Below are 17,833 nucleotides of genomic sequence, written 5' to 3'. Positions count from 1 at the left end.
CCAGGGAGAATGATCTTTTTTTTTTTTTTGATAGAGATGGAGTCTCACTGTTTTACCCAGCCTGGTCTTGATTCCTGGGCTCAAGCAAACCTCCTGCCTTGGCCTTCCAAAGTGTTGGGATTACAGGTGTGAGCCACCGCGCCTGACCAGAATGATTCTTTGAATCAATCTCTTTTCTTCCCTAGTATTTGTCTTTAAAGTGCTAGATTAGGCCAGGCGCGGTGGCTCACGCCTGTAATCTCAGCACTTTGGGAGGCCAAGGTGGGCAGATCATGAGGTCAGGAGTTCAAGACCAGCCTGGCCAACATAGGGAAACCCTATCTCTACTAAAAATAGAAAAATTAGCCAGGCATGGTGGCATGCACCTGTAGTCCCAGCTACTCAGGAGGCTGAGGCAGGAGAATCGCTTGAACCCGTGAGGCAGAGGTTGCGATGAGCCAAGATCGCACCACTAAACCAACAGAGGGAGACTTCGGCTCCAAAAAAAAAAAAAAAAAAAAAAAAAAAGACTGTAATCTCAGCACTTTGGGAGGCCGAGGTGGGTGGATTATGAGGTCAGGAGATTGAGACCATCCTGGCTATTGAGACCATCCTGGCTAACACAGTGAAACCCCATCTGTACTAAAAATACAAAAAATTAGCCGGGCGTGGTGGCACGTACCTGTAGTTCCAGCTACTTGGGAGACTGAGGCAGGAGAATTGCTTGAACCCGGGAGGCGGAGGTTGCAGTGAGCCGAGATTGCGCCACTGTACTCCAGCCTGGGTGATAGAGCGAGACTCTGTCTCAAAAAAAATAAATACATAAAAATAAAAAGCTTACAGTGATCTGAATCCCACTCAAGCTGTGTATTTGTATCTGTTACAGACGGAAGCAAGGAAGGTAAGTCCTTGGCTGATCAGCCCTCTGATTTACCTGGGACTGAGAGGTTTCCTGGACAAGGGACTTTCTGTGCTAAAACCGGGAAGGTCGAGGCCAAACAGGATGAGTCGGTCACCTTCAGAAGGATTAAGTCAATGGACTTCAGGAAGGCTGATGACAGGCTGTATTAGGCCAGAACTCTATAAGCCATTGACACCCTCTCCTCCTTCCCTTGTCCACACCAGGCTTCACTCTGGAGAGAATGGCTAAACCTGTACTAGTTAAACTCAAACTTTCCTTGAAAGACAGTTTTACAGGGCAGTGGGGCGGCGGGGGTGGGGGGTCGGGGAACCAAGGAAACAAAGAACCCTGAAACAGATCTGTTAGAAAAGAAGGGGCTATTACAAGAAGCAGGGAGGCTTTCCAGGAAATGTGCCTTCCAAAACCCTATTTCTGGCCGGACGCAGTGGCTCATATCTGTAATCCCAGCACTTTGGGAGGCCGAGGCAGGCAGATCCCTTGAGTCCAAGAGTTCAAGACCAGCCTGGGCAACATGGCAAGACCCCATCTCTACAAAAAGTACAAAAAATTAGCCAGGCGTGGTGGCACATGTCTGTAGTTCCAGCTACTCAGGAGTCTGAGGTGGGAGGATCCCTTGAGCCCAGGAGGTGGAGAGCTAAGATCATACAACTGCACTCCAGCCTGGGTGACAGAGCAAGACCCTGTTTCAAAAAAACCCAAACCAGCCGGGCACAGTGGCTCACACCTGTAATCCCAGCATTTTGGGAGGCTAAGGTGGGTGGATCACCTGAGGTCAGGAGTTTGACACCAGCCTGACCAATATGGTGAAACCCCATCTCTACTAAAAATACAAAAATTAGCCAGGCATGGTGGTGGGCACCTGTAATCCCAGCTACGTGGGAGGCTGAGACAGGAGAATTGCTTGAACCCGGGAGACAGAGGTTTCAGTGAGCCGAGATCGCGCTACTGCACTTGCTGTGGGTGACAGAGTGAGACTGTGTCTCAAAAACAAAACAAAACAAAAACCGTGGGGAATTTTTTTTTAAAGTGTGAAAAAAAATAGAAAACTACATTTCTTGTGATCTTGTATCAGACACCTTCAAGCTTACCTGAAAGTTTGAATCAAAACAAAATAACAAAGTGTGCCTTTTATATAACTTGTCTCGTTGTGAAGACCCATCTGCTTTTTTCTCTGGTGAAGACAGGTTTTCTGAAACACACAGTGTTGAGTCTTTCCCATCCCTCAACAATTACTGGATTATTAGCTAAATAAGCATTCTCCAGCAGATCTAAATCTGACACAACAAGAATGCACGTTTCTTTGGCTCTGAACAGCATTTTATCTTTTGAAAACCACCTTCACGTGAGTGATACTCAGAATCCCATTTTACAGTTGAGTAAAAGCTCAAACTCATTTGTTTCTGATAAAACATTCTGGAGGTCTCCTTGCAAATTTTTCTGGTTCATTATGCCTCCCTTTATCCTCCATAAGATAATAGTTCATAGCCTATAGTCCCAGCTACTCAGGAGGCTTGAGCCCAGGAGTTCAAAGCCAGTCTGGGCAACATGGTGAGACTATGTCTCTAAAAAATAATTTAAAAAAAGATAGCCAGGCAGGGTGGCTCATGCCTGTAATCCCAGAACTTTGGGAGGCTGAGGTGGGCAGATCACGAGGTCAGGAGTTCGAGACCAGCCTGACCAACATGGTGAAACCCTGTCTCTACTAAAAATACAAAAATTAGCTGGGAATGGTGGTGGGTGCCTGTAATCCCAGCTACTCAGGAGGCTGAGGCAGGATAATTGCTTGAACCCGGGAGGCGGAGGTTGCAGTGAGCCGAGATTGTGCTGCTGCACTGCAGCCTGGGCAACAGAGCGAGACTCCATCTAAAAAAATAAAATAAAATAAAGAGATAATAATTGGTCGCTAAGAGGGAAGGAAGGAAAGCAGGACTCCTCAGACTCCAAAACTATCAACGTGTTATAACATTTTGCATTTTCAGTTGTTTTAGAGGTGGATAAGAATAACCTTTAAGTCCACATAAGAATCACAAAATGTTCTGTTGAGATTTCCCCAATTATTTATTTATTTATTTATTTTTGAGATGGATTTTCGCTCTTGTTGTCTAAGGCGTTAGGTGTGTGAGCTACACACCGAATCATGAGATACATGGCATGCAGTGATGTCAGCACAGCCAACAGGAAGTGTTTGTGGAGAGTAGCGCCCTATCCCTTTCTTCACTTGCTTCCCTTTTTCTCGTTTTTCTATCTCATGAGTTCCATTCTCTGGGCAATAGGAAATTGAGAGGGAAGTGGGGTGACTCAGTACAGTTAGTTTCTTTTGGCTTTCTTTGAAGCCGCCCTGCTTCTTGCAATAGCCCCTTCTTTTCTAACAGATCTGGGTCAAGTTTAACTAGCACAGGTTTAGCTACTGTCTCCAGAGTGAAGCTTGGGATGGACAAGGGGAGGGGGAATGGGCATCAAAGTAGGAAATTGAGTGGGAAGTGGGGGACAAAGTACAGTCAATTTCTTTGGGTCAGTGGAGGATAAAAGTTGCTTCTTTCCTGCCCTAAGAAATATCCAGAATGCTTATCTCTTGCCTTTAGTCATTTTACCCTAACCCAATTAGGGTTAGCATTAGGGCTAAGGTTAGGGTTAGCCTTAGGGTCAGCCTTAGCCTTCCATTTGGACAAAATCTGCCATTTGGCCGGGCGCAGTGGCTCATGCCGGTAGTCCCAGCACTTTGGGAGGTGAGGAGGGCAGATTTCTTGAGGCCAGGAGTTCGAGAACAGACTGGCCAACATGGCGAAACCCCATCTCTACGAAAATACAAAAATTATCTGCGTGTGGTGGTGCACACCTGTAATCCCAGTTACTTGGGAGGCTGAGGCAGGAGAATCACTTGAACCTGGTAGGCGGAGTTTGCAGTGAGCCAAGATCACGCCACTGTACTCCAGTCTGCACGACAGAGTGAGACTACAGCTCAAATAATAATAATAATGATAATAATAATAATAATAATAATAATAATAAAAATAGTGTGAACCCGGGAGGTGGAGCTTGCAGTCAGCCAAGATCGTGCCACTGCACTCCAGCCTGGGCAACAGAGTGAGACTCCGTCTCAAAAATAAATAAATAAATAAAATAAAAATAAAAATAAAAATAAAAATAATATAAATATGAAAATAAAGTTCTGCTTTAGCTGTGTGCCACCGATTTTGACATATATTACATTCATTATCCAGTTCTATTGAGTCATTTAGCAATATTTCTTACAATATTTCAATCAGCTTCCAAATATTTTAAAAATCTACCTCTTAAAAATTAATTTCTGGCTGGCGTGGTGGCTCACGCTTATAATCCCAACACTTTGGGAAGCTGAGGCAGGCAGATCACCTAAGGTCAAGAGTTCGAGTCCAGCCTGGCCAACATGGCGAAACCCTGTCTCTACTAAAAATACAAAAATTAGCCGGGCATGGTGGCAGGCGTCTGTAATCCCAGCTACTCGGGAGGCTGAGGTAGGGAGAATTGCTTGAACCCAGGAGGTGGAGGTTTCAGCGAGCCGAGATTGCACCACTGCACTCCAGCCCTGGCGACAGAGCGAGACTCTGTCTCAAATGAAAAAAAAAAAAAAAGAAAAAAAAGAAAATGAATTTCTAATTTCCTTGAAATGTGGTTAGAGAACCTGGTCTGTATCATATTGCTGTTGGGAATGTATTGAGGAAAATACATGATCTAATGCATATCTGTTGTTATAACCCTTCCTTGTGCATCCTAAAAAAGAATGTATGGGCCAGGCACGGTGGCTCATGCCTGTAATCCCAGCACTTTGGGAGGCCAAGGCAGGCAGATCACCTGAGGTCAGGAGTTCGAGACCAGCCTGGCCAACATGGTGAAACCCCGTCTCTACTAAAAATACAAAAATTAGCCGGACACAGTGGCGGGCGCCTGTAATCCCAGCTATTTGGGAGGCTGAGGCAGGAGAATTGCTTAAACCCGGGAGGCAGAGGTTGCAGTAAGCCGAGATTGTGCCACTGCACTCCAGCCTGGGCGAAAGAGTGAGACTCCATCTCAAAAAAAAAAAAAAAAAAAAAAAAGAATGTACCTTCTATATCTGATAGCTTGATAGCTTGAGTGAGGCCCTTTCTGAGAAAGTCCATCTGAGCTGAGATCTGGATGTCAGGAAGGAGCTAGCTCTCTGAATACTTTTCCTAGGAGAAAGTATTCTAGGCAAAGGGAATAGCAGGTGCAGAGTCCCTGAGGTAGGAATGAGCTTGATATGTTCCAGGAACAGAAGGAAAGTCAATATGAATGGAGCATAGTGGGCAAGGAGGAGAGTGATGTGAGCTAACCCCTTGAGAGACAGTCAGAGGCCAGATCGAGTAGGGCCTTCGAGGCCAGAGTATGGACTTCAGCCTTAGCTAATGCAGTACATTCACTGACACCTACGGGTGGTTTGCCAAGCACTTGTCAGGTACAAATTGGTCTCATCTTATACAATGGAGAGAGCATTTTGAGATTATTATCATTATCACTTTTTTTTTTTTTTGAGACAGTCTGGCTCTGTCACCTAGGCTGGCGTGATCTTGGTTCACTGCAACCTCAGCCTCCCAGGTTCAGGCAATTCTCCTTGCCTCAGCCTCCAGAGTTGCTGGGATTACAGGCGCCCGCCTCCATGCCCGGCTCATTTTTGTATTTTTAGTAGAAATGGGGTTTCACCATGTTGGTCAGGCTGGTCTTGAACTCCTGACCTCGTGATCCACCCAGCTCGGCCTCCCAAGGTGCTGGGATTACAAGTGTGAGCCACCGTGCCCATCCCATCCTCACATTTTGAGATTAAAAGTACCTTACAGGCTGGGTGTGGTGGCTCACGCCTGTAATCCCAGCACTTTGGGAGGCCAAGTCAGGAGGATTATTTGAGCCTGGGAGTTTGAGACCAGCCTGTGCAACATGGTGAGACCTCGTCTCTACAAAACATAAAAAATTAGCCAGGCATGGTGGCATGTGCCTGTAGTCCCAGCTACTTGGGAGGCTGAGGCAGGAGGATCAGTCGAGCCCAGAAGATTGAGGCTACAGTGAACTGTGTTCATGCCACTGCACTCCAGCCTGGGTGACAGAGTGAGACCTTGTCTCCAAAAAAATCAAATAAATCAAATAAATAAAAAATTTAAAAGTACCTTAGAGAGCATGCTTAGCCTAATCCTTTTCTTTTGCAAATAAGGAAACGAAGAAGAGTTCTAAAGTGTTCTCACAGCCAGGGTCTGCGCATCCCTGTGCCTCTTCCATAGACAAGCTCCTGAAAAGGAGGACTCAGTTCTTACAATTTCATTCAGATGTTCTTGAAGGAATCTTATCTTCTTATGAACTCCTTTGTAAAGAAAAATTACTCTCGCCCCTCCCATTTACTTTTTTTGTAAATGTAGATTTTTATCAATCGGATTTTCCTTCTTTTTTTTTTTGAGATGGAGTCCTGCTGTGTCGCCCAGGCTGGTGTGCAGTGAGTGGCATGATCTCGGCTCACTGCAACCTCTGCCTCCCGACTTCAAGTGATTCTCCTGCCTGAGCCTCCTGAGCAGCTGGGACTACAGGCGCGTACCACCACACCCAGCTGGTTTTTGTATTTTTAGTAGAGACGGGGTTTCACCACATGGCCAGGCTGGTTTCGAATTCCTGACCTCGTGATCCACCCGCCTCGGCCTCCCAAAGTACTGGGATTACAGGTGTGAGCCACCGTGCCTGGCCCATTAACTATCTTGCTATGGCATCATTTAAAATAGCTGCATACCCTCCTGTTATATGACTGTGCCATAATTTACTTAACCAATCTCCTCCTGTTGGACTCAGAGGAATTTTTAAAAATTCATTTAGCCAGGCTGGGGGTGATGGCTCACACCTATAATCCCAGAGCTTTGAGAGGCCCAGGCGGGAGGATTGCTTGAGGCCAGGAGTTTAAGGCCAGCCTGGGCAACATAGGGAGACCGTATCTCTACAAAACAAAAACAAAAACAACAACAACCAAAAAACAACAACAACAACAAAACCCCCCATATATATATATCTCTCTTCCTTTTCTTTCTATCACCACCACCAATTCAGTAGCACAGGTGGCTTACTGAGTCACTCCTATATAATCCCAGCTGACTTCTAAATGATGTCACTTCCCCAGGCTTCCCCTCCCATCCCACGTCCTCATGTCGGTCTGAGGGATTTTTTTTTTTTTTTTAATTTTTGAGAAGGAGTCTCGCTCTGTCACCCAGGCTGGAGTGCAGTGGAGCGATCTTGGCTCACTGCAACCTCTGCCTCCCAGGTTCAAGCGATTCTCCTGCCTCAGCCTCCCGAGAAGCTGGGACTATAGGTGCATGCCACCACCCCTGGCTAATTTTTTGTATTTTTAGTAGAGACGGAGTTTCACCGTGTAAGCCAGGATGGTCTCCACTTGCTGATCTCATGATCCGCCCGCCTTGGCCTCCCAAAGTGCTGAGATTACAGGCGTGAGCCACTGCACCCGGCTGGGATTTCTTAAGTCACTGCTTTTCTCATGTCCTCTGTCAGCCCCAAGAACGGCTCCATCTTAACTTTGCAACTGGTTCAAACATCTCAGCCTTTTTTTCTTTTTGAAGGTTTCCCCAAATCAGTCCCATTTAATCTCCCTCCACTATGATAGTCATTTGTTTCTGGGCCTGGCTTGTGCTGCTGGTCCTGTTGGGAATGCCTCCTCTCATCCCACTGTTTCCAGCCCCTTCCTCCAGTGAGGGCCCGCTTACATCTCACCAGCTTCATAACCCTCCCAAGGCTGTGCTTGCCTGTGAATTTCGCCTTTCTTTGAGCGTCTGTTTCAGTGAGATGGAACCACCCAGTTTAGGAGGCAGTAAGAAAACAAGCAAGACTGTGTCTCTCACCGCATAGTTGCACTGGCCATCTGACAGGTCCTGGAGCACACTCATTTCTTTTCTTTTCTTTTTTTTTCTTTTTGAGATAGATTATTACTATGTTACCCAGGCTGGCCTCAAACTCCTGGGCTTAAGGGATGATCTCTCGTCGCTGGGACTACATGTGTGTGCTCCTGCACCAGGCTCTGGAACACTCTTATTTCTCTCTCACCCCTCAGCTTTATGTTTTCCATCCCTCTTCCTGGAATGCCCTTCTTTCAACTCATTACAGCTGGCTCCTTCTTGATATTCAGATCTAGTGTAAATGTCACTTCCTTGGAGACACTATCCCTGCCCCTTGTCAGAAGTAACTCCCTTGCTCCTATCACAGCATCCTGCTTGTTTCTTTCAAACTCTGTATCCCAAGCTGTCCTCACTGCATTTCTTTTCACCGTGATTGCCTGTCTGCCCCACTGCACCTAACCTCCCAAAGAGCCTCTCTTATTCACCTGTTCATCCCTAGCTCCTGTACAGTGCTGGGGTGCTCAGTAAGTGTTTGCTGAATGAACAGATGAGATTGGACAGAACGGGGAAGGAGAAGGGAGACATCAAGGTATCCTTTGAATTTCTGGCTTGGGAAGTTGAACTGATGGCAGGTGGTGCTACTGGCTGATCTTGGGAGCTCTGGAAGTCACATGTGGGTGGGGTGAACTGAGATCATGATTTGTCTTTTGTAGCTGTTTGAATTGCCTCTAAACCATTTAAGTATAGAATATCTGGAGGTGGTTAAATATATGGGCCTGGAGCTCGAGAGCAATGCTTGGGCACCATCCAAATCATAAGAATAGCTACCATGGCTAGACATGAGAAGCTGCCCAAAGCCATGTATTAGTCTGTTCTCACACTGCTAATAAAGACATACCAAAGACTGGATAATTTATATAGGAAAGGTTTAATTGACTCACAGTTCCAATGTGTCACCTGGGGAGGGCTGGGGAGGCCTCACAATCATGACAAAGGCAAGGAGGAGCAAAGCCACATCTTACATGGTGGCAGGCAAAACAAGAATGAGAGCCAAGCAAGAGGAGAAACCCCTTATAAAACCCTCAGATCTCGTGAGACATATTCACTACCACGAGAACAATATGGGGGAAACCGCCCCCATGATTCAATTCTCTCCCACCAGGTCCCTCCCACAACACATGGGAATTATGGGAGCTAACAATTCAAGATGAGATTTGGGTGGGGACACAGCCAAACCATATCAGGCCACTTGGCCAATAAGTGACCAAGCCAGGATTTGAACCAGGTGGTTTGTTTCCAGTGCCCATCATACCACTGGACTGAGATAGGTGTGTAAGGGACAAAAACCAAGATGAGTTCCTTGCCTCTGAGGGTCTTATTGTTTTTGGGGGGAAATAAAACATAAATACTCATAACTTACCAGACTGGAAGGGCTTGCATAAGAGCCCTGTTAGTTTTATTTGACCCTTATCCAAGCTTAAGTGCAGTGATTGTTTGGTTAAAATGGTAAGTCAGTGTCAGCCACTTCCTCCGATTCCTGAAGCCTTAGGATCATGTGACCATGATAATTCATTAAAATTAGCTAAGGATGTTGGAAATGCAAAATCCTCTCCATAGATCATCATTTATTTTGGAAATATGATTCATAGCCCTCAGGAATGGAAAACAGGAAGCTGAAAAGTCACAGTAAAAGTGAAAGAAGATAGGAATTTCTAATCTATTCAAAAAAGAGAAGTTGAATCAGGGGATCCTCAGGGATTCCTGAATGATGACTGCATGGGATTAGAACATGGGTTGAGAAACATACAAGCAGCAGAGGGTGAAACCCCACTCGGTGCATTCCAGTGGGTAATTTGAATAAATGGGGGTGGTGGTCATGGTTCCTTATTGCCTCTAGTAGGCAGGGCTTTGTGTAGACCATGACTTTTGGTAGAAGCCAAACGAAGATTAATTTTTTAGGGCTGCTGGTTGGCCTGGAATTAGGGTGTTTTTTTTTTTTGAGACAGCGTTTCGCTCTTGTTGCCCAGGCTGGAGTGCAATGGTGTGATCGTGGCTCACTGCAACCTCTGCCTCCCGGGTTCAAGCAATTCTCCTGCTTCAGCCTCCCAAGTAGCTGGGATTACAGGTGCCCGCCACCACGCCTGGCTAATTTTTTGTATTTTTAGTAGAAACAGGGTTTCACCATGTCGGCCAGGCTGGTCTCAAACTCCTGACCTCAGGTGATCACCCACCTCAGCCTCCCAAAGTGCTGGGATTACAGGCGTGAGTCACCGCACCCAGCTGAAGTAGGGATGTTTTAATAACCTCTTTACCTCAGTGGTGAGGGAGGGATTCCCAGTTCCCACCCCAGGGTTATGGCGGTAGCTGAACACATGACACCCAACACTGGGCAAATGAGATTGGCAGCAGTTTTTGGTCACACACACTCACAGCTCGGGGAGGAAGACCCCACTTGCCGTGCAGGGCCACACAGAAACAGAGTGAACAACCAGGGCCAGTGCGGGGCAGGCTTTGTAGCACCAAGAGGGTGAGGAGGCCCTGGTTCCCCGGAGGATGTGACTGGCTCATTTGGACAACTCCGTGGGTTGGCAGGAGACTCACACCTGCCGCTCAGGGATTAGCAGGAACTGCATCTGGTCTTTTTGATAAGGAAGGCTGTTTCACTGGGCGCCCTTTGCCAAGGGAGGACTGGGAGAGAAACTTGGGGTGAGGCACTCCTGATTTCACCTGATGTCAAAGCAGCACCTCATATTAGAGCTTAATTTTAGGCCTTACACTGCACGGTGGGTACCCAGTGGGTCCTGCTGACTGCCCTTCATCTCCTGATTTGGTGCACTCCTTCCTGTGATCTGAAGCTCAACACACAGCCTCATCCCTGCCAGCTTGGGACAGGGGCCATTCCAAAATTCAAGGCCACCAGAGCTTTTCGTCCTTTTCTCTTGCTGCTGATTTGTTTTCTTTTTTTCTTTTTTTTTTTTTTTGGTGACTTCCCAAGAGGAAGAGGAGGGGAGAAAAGAGAAACATTCCATTTGGCCGCATATATAGCGCAAATGTTTCATGGAGTAGGGAAAGACTGAAACAAAAACAAAAACTGTATCCACCACCACTCCCAGCTCATTTTCCACACAGCGATCATAGTGATCTTTAAAAATTAATTTGGTGGCTGGGCGCTGTGGCGTACTCCTGTAATCCCAGCACTTTGGGAGGCCGAGGCTGGTGAATCACTTGAGGTCAGGCATTCGGCACCAGTTTGACCAACATGGAGAAACTCCGTCTCTACTAAAAATACAAAAATTAGCCAGGCGTGATGGTGGCACACATGTAATCCTGGCTACTCAGGAGGCTGAGGCAGGAGAATTGATTGAACCCAGGAGGTGGAGGTTGCAGTGAGCTGAGATAGTGGCATTGCACTCCAGCCTAGGCAACAAGAGTGAAACTCTGTCTCAAAATAAATAAAATAAAATAAAATAAAATAAATTAATATGGCTGGGTGTGGTGGCTTACACTTGTAATCCCAGCACTGTGGGAGGCTGAGGCCGGTGGATCACTTGAGGTCAGGCATTCGAGACCAGCTTAGCCAACATGGAGAAACCCTGTCTCTACTAAAAATACAAAAATTAGCTGGGTGTGGTGGCAGGCGCCTGTAATCCCAGATACTTGGGAGGCTGAGACAGGAGAATCGCTTGAACCCAGGAGGCAGAGGTTGCAGTGAGCTGAGGTTGAGCCACTGCACTCCAGCCTGGGCAACAAAGCAAGACTCCATCTCAAAAATAAAAATAAAAATAAAAAAATTAAAATTAAATGTGATCTTACCAGGTTCCTGCTTAGAACCCTTATGTGGCTTAGGTCTTAGGATACAGACAAACTCTACCATGGCCCACAGGCTCCAGGCAGCCTAGCCCCTGCCTGCTTGTCCAACCGTAACTCATGCCTTACTTCTCTGTACTTTTTATGGCACAGTCATACAGTTCTCCTTTAAGTTCTATAAACCTGCTCTGCTTTTCCTGCCCCAGGACCTTTGCACATACTGTTCTCTGCCTAGAATGCTCTTTCCTCCCGCATTCACTAGTTAAGTAATACTCATCCTTCAGATTTTAGCTAAAACATTCCTTCCTCAGGTAGGCTGATCTCCCCAAATAGGCCAAATTTCCCTACTATAAGCTCTCATGCCATCATTTGCCTTTTCACCATTATACTCAGCACAAGTTGCAAGATGCCATTTGCTTGAATTATTTGATTAATTTCCATCTCCTCATATCTCTATGAGACTGGCTACCTTATTTATCCTTGGTCTCTAGAGAGTGCCTCATTGAATAGTTGTTGAGTGAATGCGTCAATGAATGAGTTAACTGTGATTTGGGGACCTTCTGAAAAGAAAGGAAATGAAGATTTAAATAAATTATATACCTTTTTTTAATTATCAAAACAGTCACATTAAGGACACTTACATTGCCAGGCTAAAATCAGGAAGGGTTTAAAAAGTTACTCCCCTTTAGAAAGAGAAATGCATGTCTATTACCAATGCTATGTGAAATCAGCCAAGAGAAAGCAGATCCCTTCTCTTCTGACACAGAAAGGAAGCCATGAATACTGGCAATTACCGTAGCAGAAGTCTGTCTTTAAGTATAAGAAAACAGATCCTACAAAACGTGACTCTCATCACCTTTGGCGGTGACATTATTTTCTACAGTAAACTAAAAATAATACAAATATGACGCCTGTTATTGTAGGACGTGTCTGACATATTACACACAGTTGAAGTGACACATCACTCTCTCGCCCAGAGCATCAGTGGGGAAGGTGATGGAAAACAGTAGATGGATCCAGTGATTATTTGTAATTTCACATTCTGACTCCATCTGCGGCCTCATTAAGGTGATAGAAACATACTAGGAATAAGGCACCAAAAACAAAGGTACAAAGGCCCAGAAGCCATCAGAATGGAAACTTGTAACAGTGACATAGAATTCGTGAAGTAAAGAAATGTAAGCTCCAAAGAAATCATATGTAGTAATCCACTTTTTAAAATATCTTTGAAAAGGTAGTAAAAATCAAAGTTCAATCTGGCATAATTAACTTGGTTCCTGAGTTTAAAGCCAAATAAAACCCTGTATCAAAAAATGGTTTTATTCATGCTGTCTTACATGAATATAGTAGAAAGCTGCTGGTTTTTAAAAGGTATCAAAATGGTAACTCTTAGAACATATATAAAAAAATTCACAGATCCTTCATCAGTCACAATATTTAATAGTGGTCTCTAAACTATTCGATAAAATAGCTATTGTTTAGAAACAGATAAATAGCCAACTCTAGTGACCAAACCAGGAAAAGGAAATCCTGAAGCAGGATCCTAAAACCTGTCACTGTGCATTTTCATATTCTCAGCAGTTGATGTATGGAAATGGTAAAAGTGTGGTGTGGGTTGCTTTTGAAGCAGCTAGCACCCAGACTGCGTCAGTTCTGATTGGCTGCAAAGTACAGAGTGTTAATGGCATAAAGCCAGCTTTTTAGTCACTTTCAGTCATAGAATTGTTTTGTTGTTGTTGTTGTTGTTTTTTGAGACAGAGTCTTGCTCTGTTATCTAGGCTGGAGTGCAGTGGCACTATCTCGGCTTATTGCAACCTCCACCTTCCAGGTTCAAGAGATTCTCCTGCCTCAGCCTCCCAAGTAGCTGGGATTACAGGCGCCCACCGCCACACCCACCTAATTTTTGTATTCTTAGTAGAGACAGGGTCTCACCATGTTGGCCAGGCTGGTCTCGAACTCCTGACCTCAGGTGATCCACCCGCCTCAGCCTCCCAAAGTGCTGGGATTACAGGCGTGAGCCACCACGCCCGGCCTTCAGTCAAAGAATTGTGATGAGGATCGGAATGCATTGGGTAGCTCAGCAGTTAGATTTGATAGATTCCAAGGCTGGTCTGGTGAGTTACCTGATTTGGTCTATAGCCCTTCTAGAACTGTCCAGTGGAAACCTAAGTTCCTGAGGCTCCCAGGGTTGGTCCGGGCTCCCTGAGAACATTAGAACCAGGGAAGGTATGGGCTGAGTCTGTGTGCCCATTCATCAGGCTTGCCCTCTGTTCCAGTTACCTGTTGCTGTGGAACAAATAAGCCCCAAACTTAGGGACTTAAGATAGCAATGTGGTTTTCTGGATTTATGGGGCAGTTCTCACTTGGGATGTATCATGCGGTATCAGTCATATGTTAGTGGAGTCCAGAATCACCTGAAGGCTTCTTCTCTCTCATGTTTGGTGACTGGGCTTGGATGGCTTGAAAGCTGGGGCTGGTCAGGCACTGTCCACGTGACTGCTTGGGCTTCCTCACAGCAGGGCAGTCTCAGGATAGGCAGACATTTTTTTTTTCTTTTTTTTTTTTTTGAGATGGAGTCTCGCTCTGTCACCCAGCCTGGAGTGCAGTGGCACGATCTCAGCTCAATGCAACCTCCACCTCCCAGGTTCAAGTGTTTCTCCTGTCTCAGCCTCTTGATAGCTAGGACTACAGGTGCCCGCACCATGCCCAGCTAATTTTTGTATTTTTATTAGAGATACGGTTTCACCATGTTGGCGAGTCTGGTCTTGGACTCCTGACTTTAAGTGATCCGCCCGCCTTGGTCTCCCAAAGTGCTGGGATTACAGGTGTGAGCCACCACACCTGGCCAGGATAGGCAGACTTTTAAATGGCGTCTGGCTTCCCCGATAGCAAGAGTTCCAAGGGACAGCAAGTAGAAGCTGTCAGCCTCTTAAGATCAGGATCTGAAACTGACACAATGTCACTTCCACTTTTGGATAAAGCAATCAGAGCCACCCATATTCAAGGGGAGGAGATAAAACCCTTAGGTCTTGGGGGACTTGAGTGTCAAAGAATTTGTGGCCACCTTTAGTTCTCCACATTCTCCAGCCAGGATGAAAAGGGTTTGTTTTTAGTTGGACATTATCCTAGTCTGACCTCATAATGAAATGTTTTGCATTCATGTAGATCTTTACACATTAAAAGACAGTTCATGTGCACTGTCTCAATTTGTCCTCACAATATCTCTGAGATAGTAGTTGGGCAACAAGGAGACAGAGGCACAGAGGTGAGAGGCCTAGGGTCACACAACTTCCTGGGGACAGAGTTGAGACTTACATCTCAATCTCTTTTCTCTGAGTCCATGTAGAGGGATTCTGGTTTGTTTAACCAGGTCACTTTGCTCTCAGACACAGAGAGCAACAGAAGATGAAAGCATATTTCCCTTTGGCTGAAAATGTGGCCACAGAGCTTTGCAGGTGAAGTTCAAGTTGCTGGTAAATGTCATGTTAACATGGCTACTGCAGCCCCTGCTATTGGTAAGGACTCTTTTTTTTTTTTGGGGGACAGTTTGCTGTGCCTCCCAGGCTGGAGAGCAGTGGCACAATCTGGGCTCACTACAACCTCTGCCTCCCGGGTTCAAGTGATTCTTGTGCCTCAGCCTCCCGAGTAGCTGGGATTGCAGGTGCATGCCACCATGTCTGGCTGATTTTTGTATTTTTAGTACAGACAGGATTTCGCCTTGTTAGCCAGGCGGGTCTCCAACTCCCGACCTCAGGTGATCTGCCTGCCTCGGCCTCCCAAAGCGCTGGGATTACAGACGTGAGCCACGGTGCCTGGCTTCAGTAAGGACTCTTGAAGCCACTGTACTGCCCTTCACTCTTCGGAAACTCTTTCCGGATCCTCCAGCGGCAGCAGCTGGGCAGGATGGCAAAGTCAGCCATGTCCTGGGAGCCGAAGCGCCAGGTGGCGTAGCACCTGTAGGCACAGTGCCGCAGCCGGCTGTTGGTGGAATCCACATCCAGCGCCAGCAAGGGCTCCTGGTAGAGCAGGAGGAACTGCAGGACGTGTCTGGACAGGACCAGCTTCCTGAACAGCTCTGAGGTGGTGATGCAGGCCCCCGGCTTTTTCCGGCAGCACAGCTCCTCCAGGCACCTGTGGCTCTCAGGGAGTTGAGATGGGAGGCAGCTTCCACACTGGCACCAGACGGGGCTATCCCTGGATCTAGGAGTCGCCTCCTTTCTAAGCAGCTGTATCTCCTCTGGTTGTCCAGGAATCGGGGGTGTGTCATGGAGGGCCAGGGGCAGCCTGGACAAATCTGTGAAGTCCATCGCAGGTCTCTGAAAAAGCAAGTTTCCAAACCTATTAGCCATGACAAGCCCTCAGGTTCTAGGTTCTTTAATTTTATTAACTTATAAAGTTACGTTTAATATTACATGATTTATAGTAGCCGTCATTTATTAGGTGTAGATATCAGGACCATGCATGTGTTCTGTAAGCATTGCCTCATTCAGGCCTTTGAAGACGCTTGTGAGATAATGTATCCTTGTCTTTATTTTACAGATTTTTTTTTTTTTTTTGAGAGAGGGTCTCACTCTGTCGCACAGGCTGGAGCACAGTGGTGTGATCTTGGCTCACTGCAACTTTCACCTCCCAGGTTCAGACAATTTTCATGCCTTAACCTCCTAAGTAGCTGGTATTACAGGTGCATGCCACCATGCCCAGCTAATTCTTTCGTATTTCTAGTAGAAACAGGATTTCAACATGTTGGCCAGGCTGGTTTGGAACTCCTGACCTCAGGTGATCCACCTGCCTCAGCCTCTCAAAGTGCTGGGATTACAGGCATGAGCCACTGCACCTGGCCTATTTTACAGATTTTGGAAAATGAAATTCAGAAAAGCCAGGCCTCTGTTGAGATGTCACCTCTTGTCCTGACCACCCTATCTAGCAGCTTTTCTCCCACATGATTCCCTTATCACACTGTGGTATTCCACATTCTTCATAGGACTTAGCACTATTGGAAATGGTTTTTGTGTGTGTGTGTGTGTGTGTGTATTTGTTGTTTTTTTTTTTTGAGATGGAGTCTTGCTCTGTCTCCCAGGCTGGAGTGCAGTGGCATGATCTTGGCTTACTGCAACCTCCGCCTCCTGGGTTCAAGCGATTCTTCTGCCTCAGCCTCCTGAGTAGCTGGGACTACAGGCGCGCACCACCACACCCGGCTAATTTTTATATTTTTAGTAGAGACAGAGTTTCACCATATTGGCCAGGCTGGTGTTGAACTCCTGACCTCGAGTGATCCACCCACCTCAGCCTCCCAAAGTACTGAGATTACAAGCGTGAGCCACTGCACCCGGCCATGACTTAGTTTTTAACAAAAATATTTAAAAAGTAAAAATAAAAATAAAAAATGTTAAAAATAGAAAAAAGTATATAGAATAAGGATATAGAGAAAGAATTTTTTTTTTTTTGAGATGGAGTCTTGCTCTGTCGCCCAGGCTGGAGTGCAGTGGTGTGATCTTGGCTCACTGCAAGCTCTGCCTCCTGGGTTCACGCCATTCTCCTGCCTCAGCCTCCCGAGTAGCTGGGACTACAGGCGCCTGCCACCATGCCTGGCTATTTTTTTGTATTTTTAGTAGAGATGGGGTTTCACCATGTTGGCCAGGATGGTCTCAATCTCCTGATCTTGTGATCCGCCTGCCTCGGCCTCCCAAAGTGATGGGATTACAGGCATGAGCCACCACTCCCGGTGAGAAAGAAAATATTTTTATACCACTGTACAGAGTTTAAAAAATTTAAAAATTTATAAAGTAAAACAGTCACAGTAAGCTAAGATTAATTTATTATTGAAGAAAGATAAATATTTTGAAGTAAATTTAGTGTAGCCTAAGTGTACAGTGTTTATGAAGTCTACTGTAGTGCACGGTAACAACCTAGGCTTTCACATTCACTCACTACTCACTGACTCACCCAGAGCAACTTTCAGTCCTACAAGCTCCATTCATGGTAAGTGCCCTATGCAGATGTACCATTTTTAAGCTTTTATATCATATTTTCACTGTACCTTTTCTATATTTAGATATACAAATCTTACCATTCTGTTACAGTTGCTTACCGTATTCAGTACAGTAACATGCTGTACAGGTTTGCAGCCTAGGAGCAATAGACTACACCATATAACCTAAGTATAATAGGCTATTCTATTTAGGTTTGTGTAAATAGAGTCCATGATATTCAGACAACCACAGAATCAGCTACTGATGCGTTTTTCAGAACATATCCC

At 45.9% G+C, this 17,833-nt stretch overlaps 1 protein-coding gene and 1 long non-coding RNA gene across 17 annotated transcripts in view, besides 1 other annotated feature; one reads left to right on the top strand and one right to left on the bottom strand.

Moving 5' to 3' along the window:
• LOC105370032 (uncharacterized) overlaps positions 1 to 17,833 on the top strand; it is an 84,641-nt gene that overhangs the window by 9,875 nt on the left and 56,933 nt on the right. The window lies entirely within an intron of this gene.
• Positions 9,770 to 10,270: an enhancer, noted in NCBI's record as "H3K4me1 hESC enhancer chr12:121627731-121628231 (GRCh37/hg19 assembly coordinates)". NCBI's record gives its function as "activates a minimal SCP1, AML or CMV promoter by ChIP-STARR-seq in primed H9 embryonic stem cells {active_cell/tissue: H9 hESC(primed)}" and the evidence as "EXISTENCE:reporter gene assay evidence [ECO:0000049][PMID:30033119]".
• The window catches only part of P2RX7 (purinergic receptor P2X 7), a 55,157-nt gene continuing 49,489 nt past the window's right edge, over positions 12,166 to 17,833 (bottom strand). For all 13 annotated transcript variants that reach the window (NR_033948.2, NR_033949.2, NR_033950.2 and 10 more), the window contains one exon: positions 12,166 to 15,893. Coding sequence is in view for 4 of the 13 variants with exons in the window: in NM_002562.6 (NP_002553.3) it covers positions 15,396 to 15,893 (498 nt within the window). In the remaining 9 variants the exon portion in view is untranslated. The remainder of the gene's footprint in view (positions 15,894 to 17,833) is intronic.

The sequence above is a fragment of the Homo sapiens genome, chromosome 12 (genome assembly GCF_000001405.40).
Source record: "Homo sapiens chromosome 12, GRCh38.p14 Primary Assembly".
Classification (NCBI taxonomy): domain Eukaryota; kingdom Metazoa; phylum Chordata; class Mammalia; order Primates; family Hominidae; genus Homo; species Homo sapiens.
Note: the sequence above shows the minus strand (reverse complement) of the source record. Positions and strands in the feature narration are given on the sequence as shown.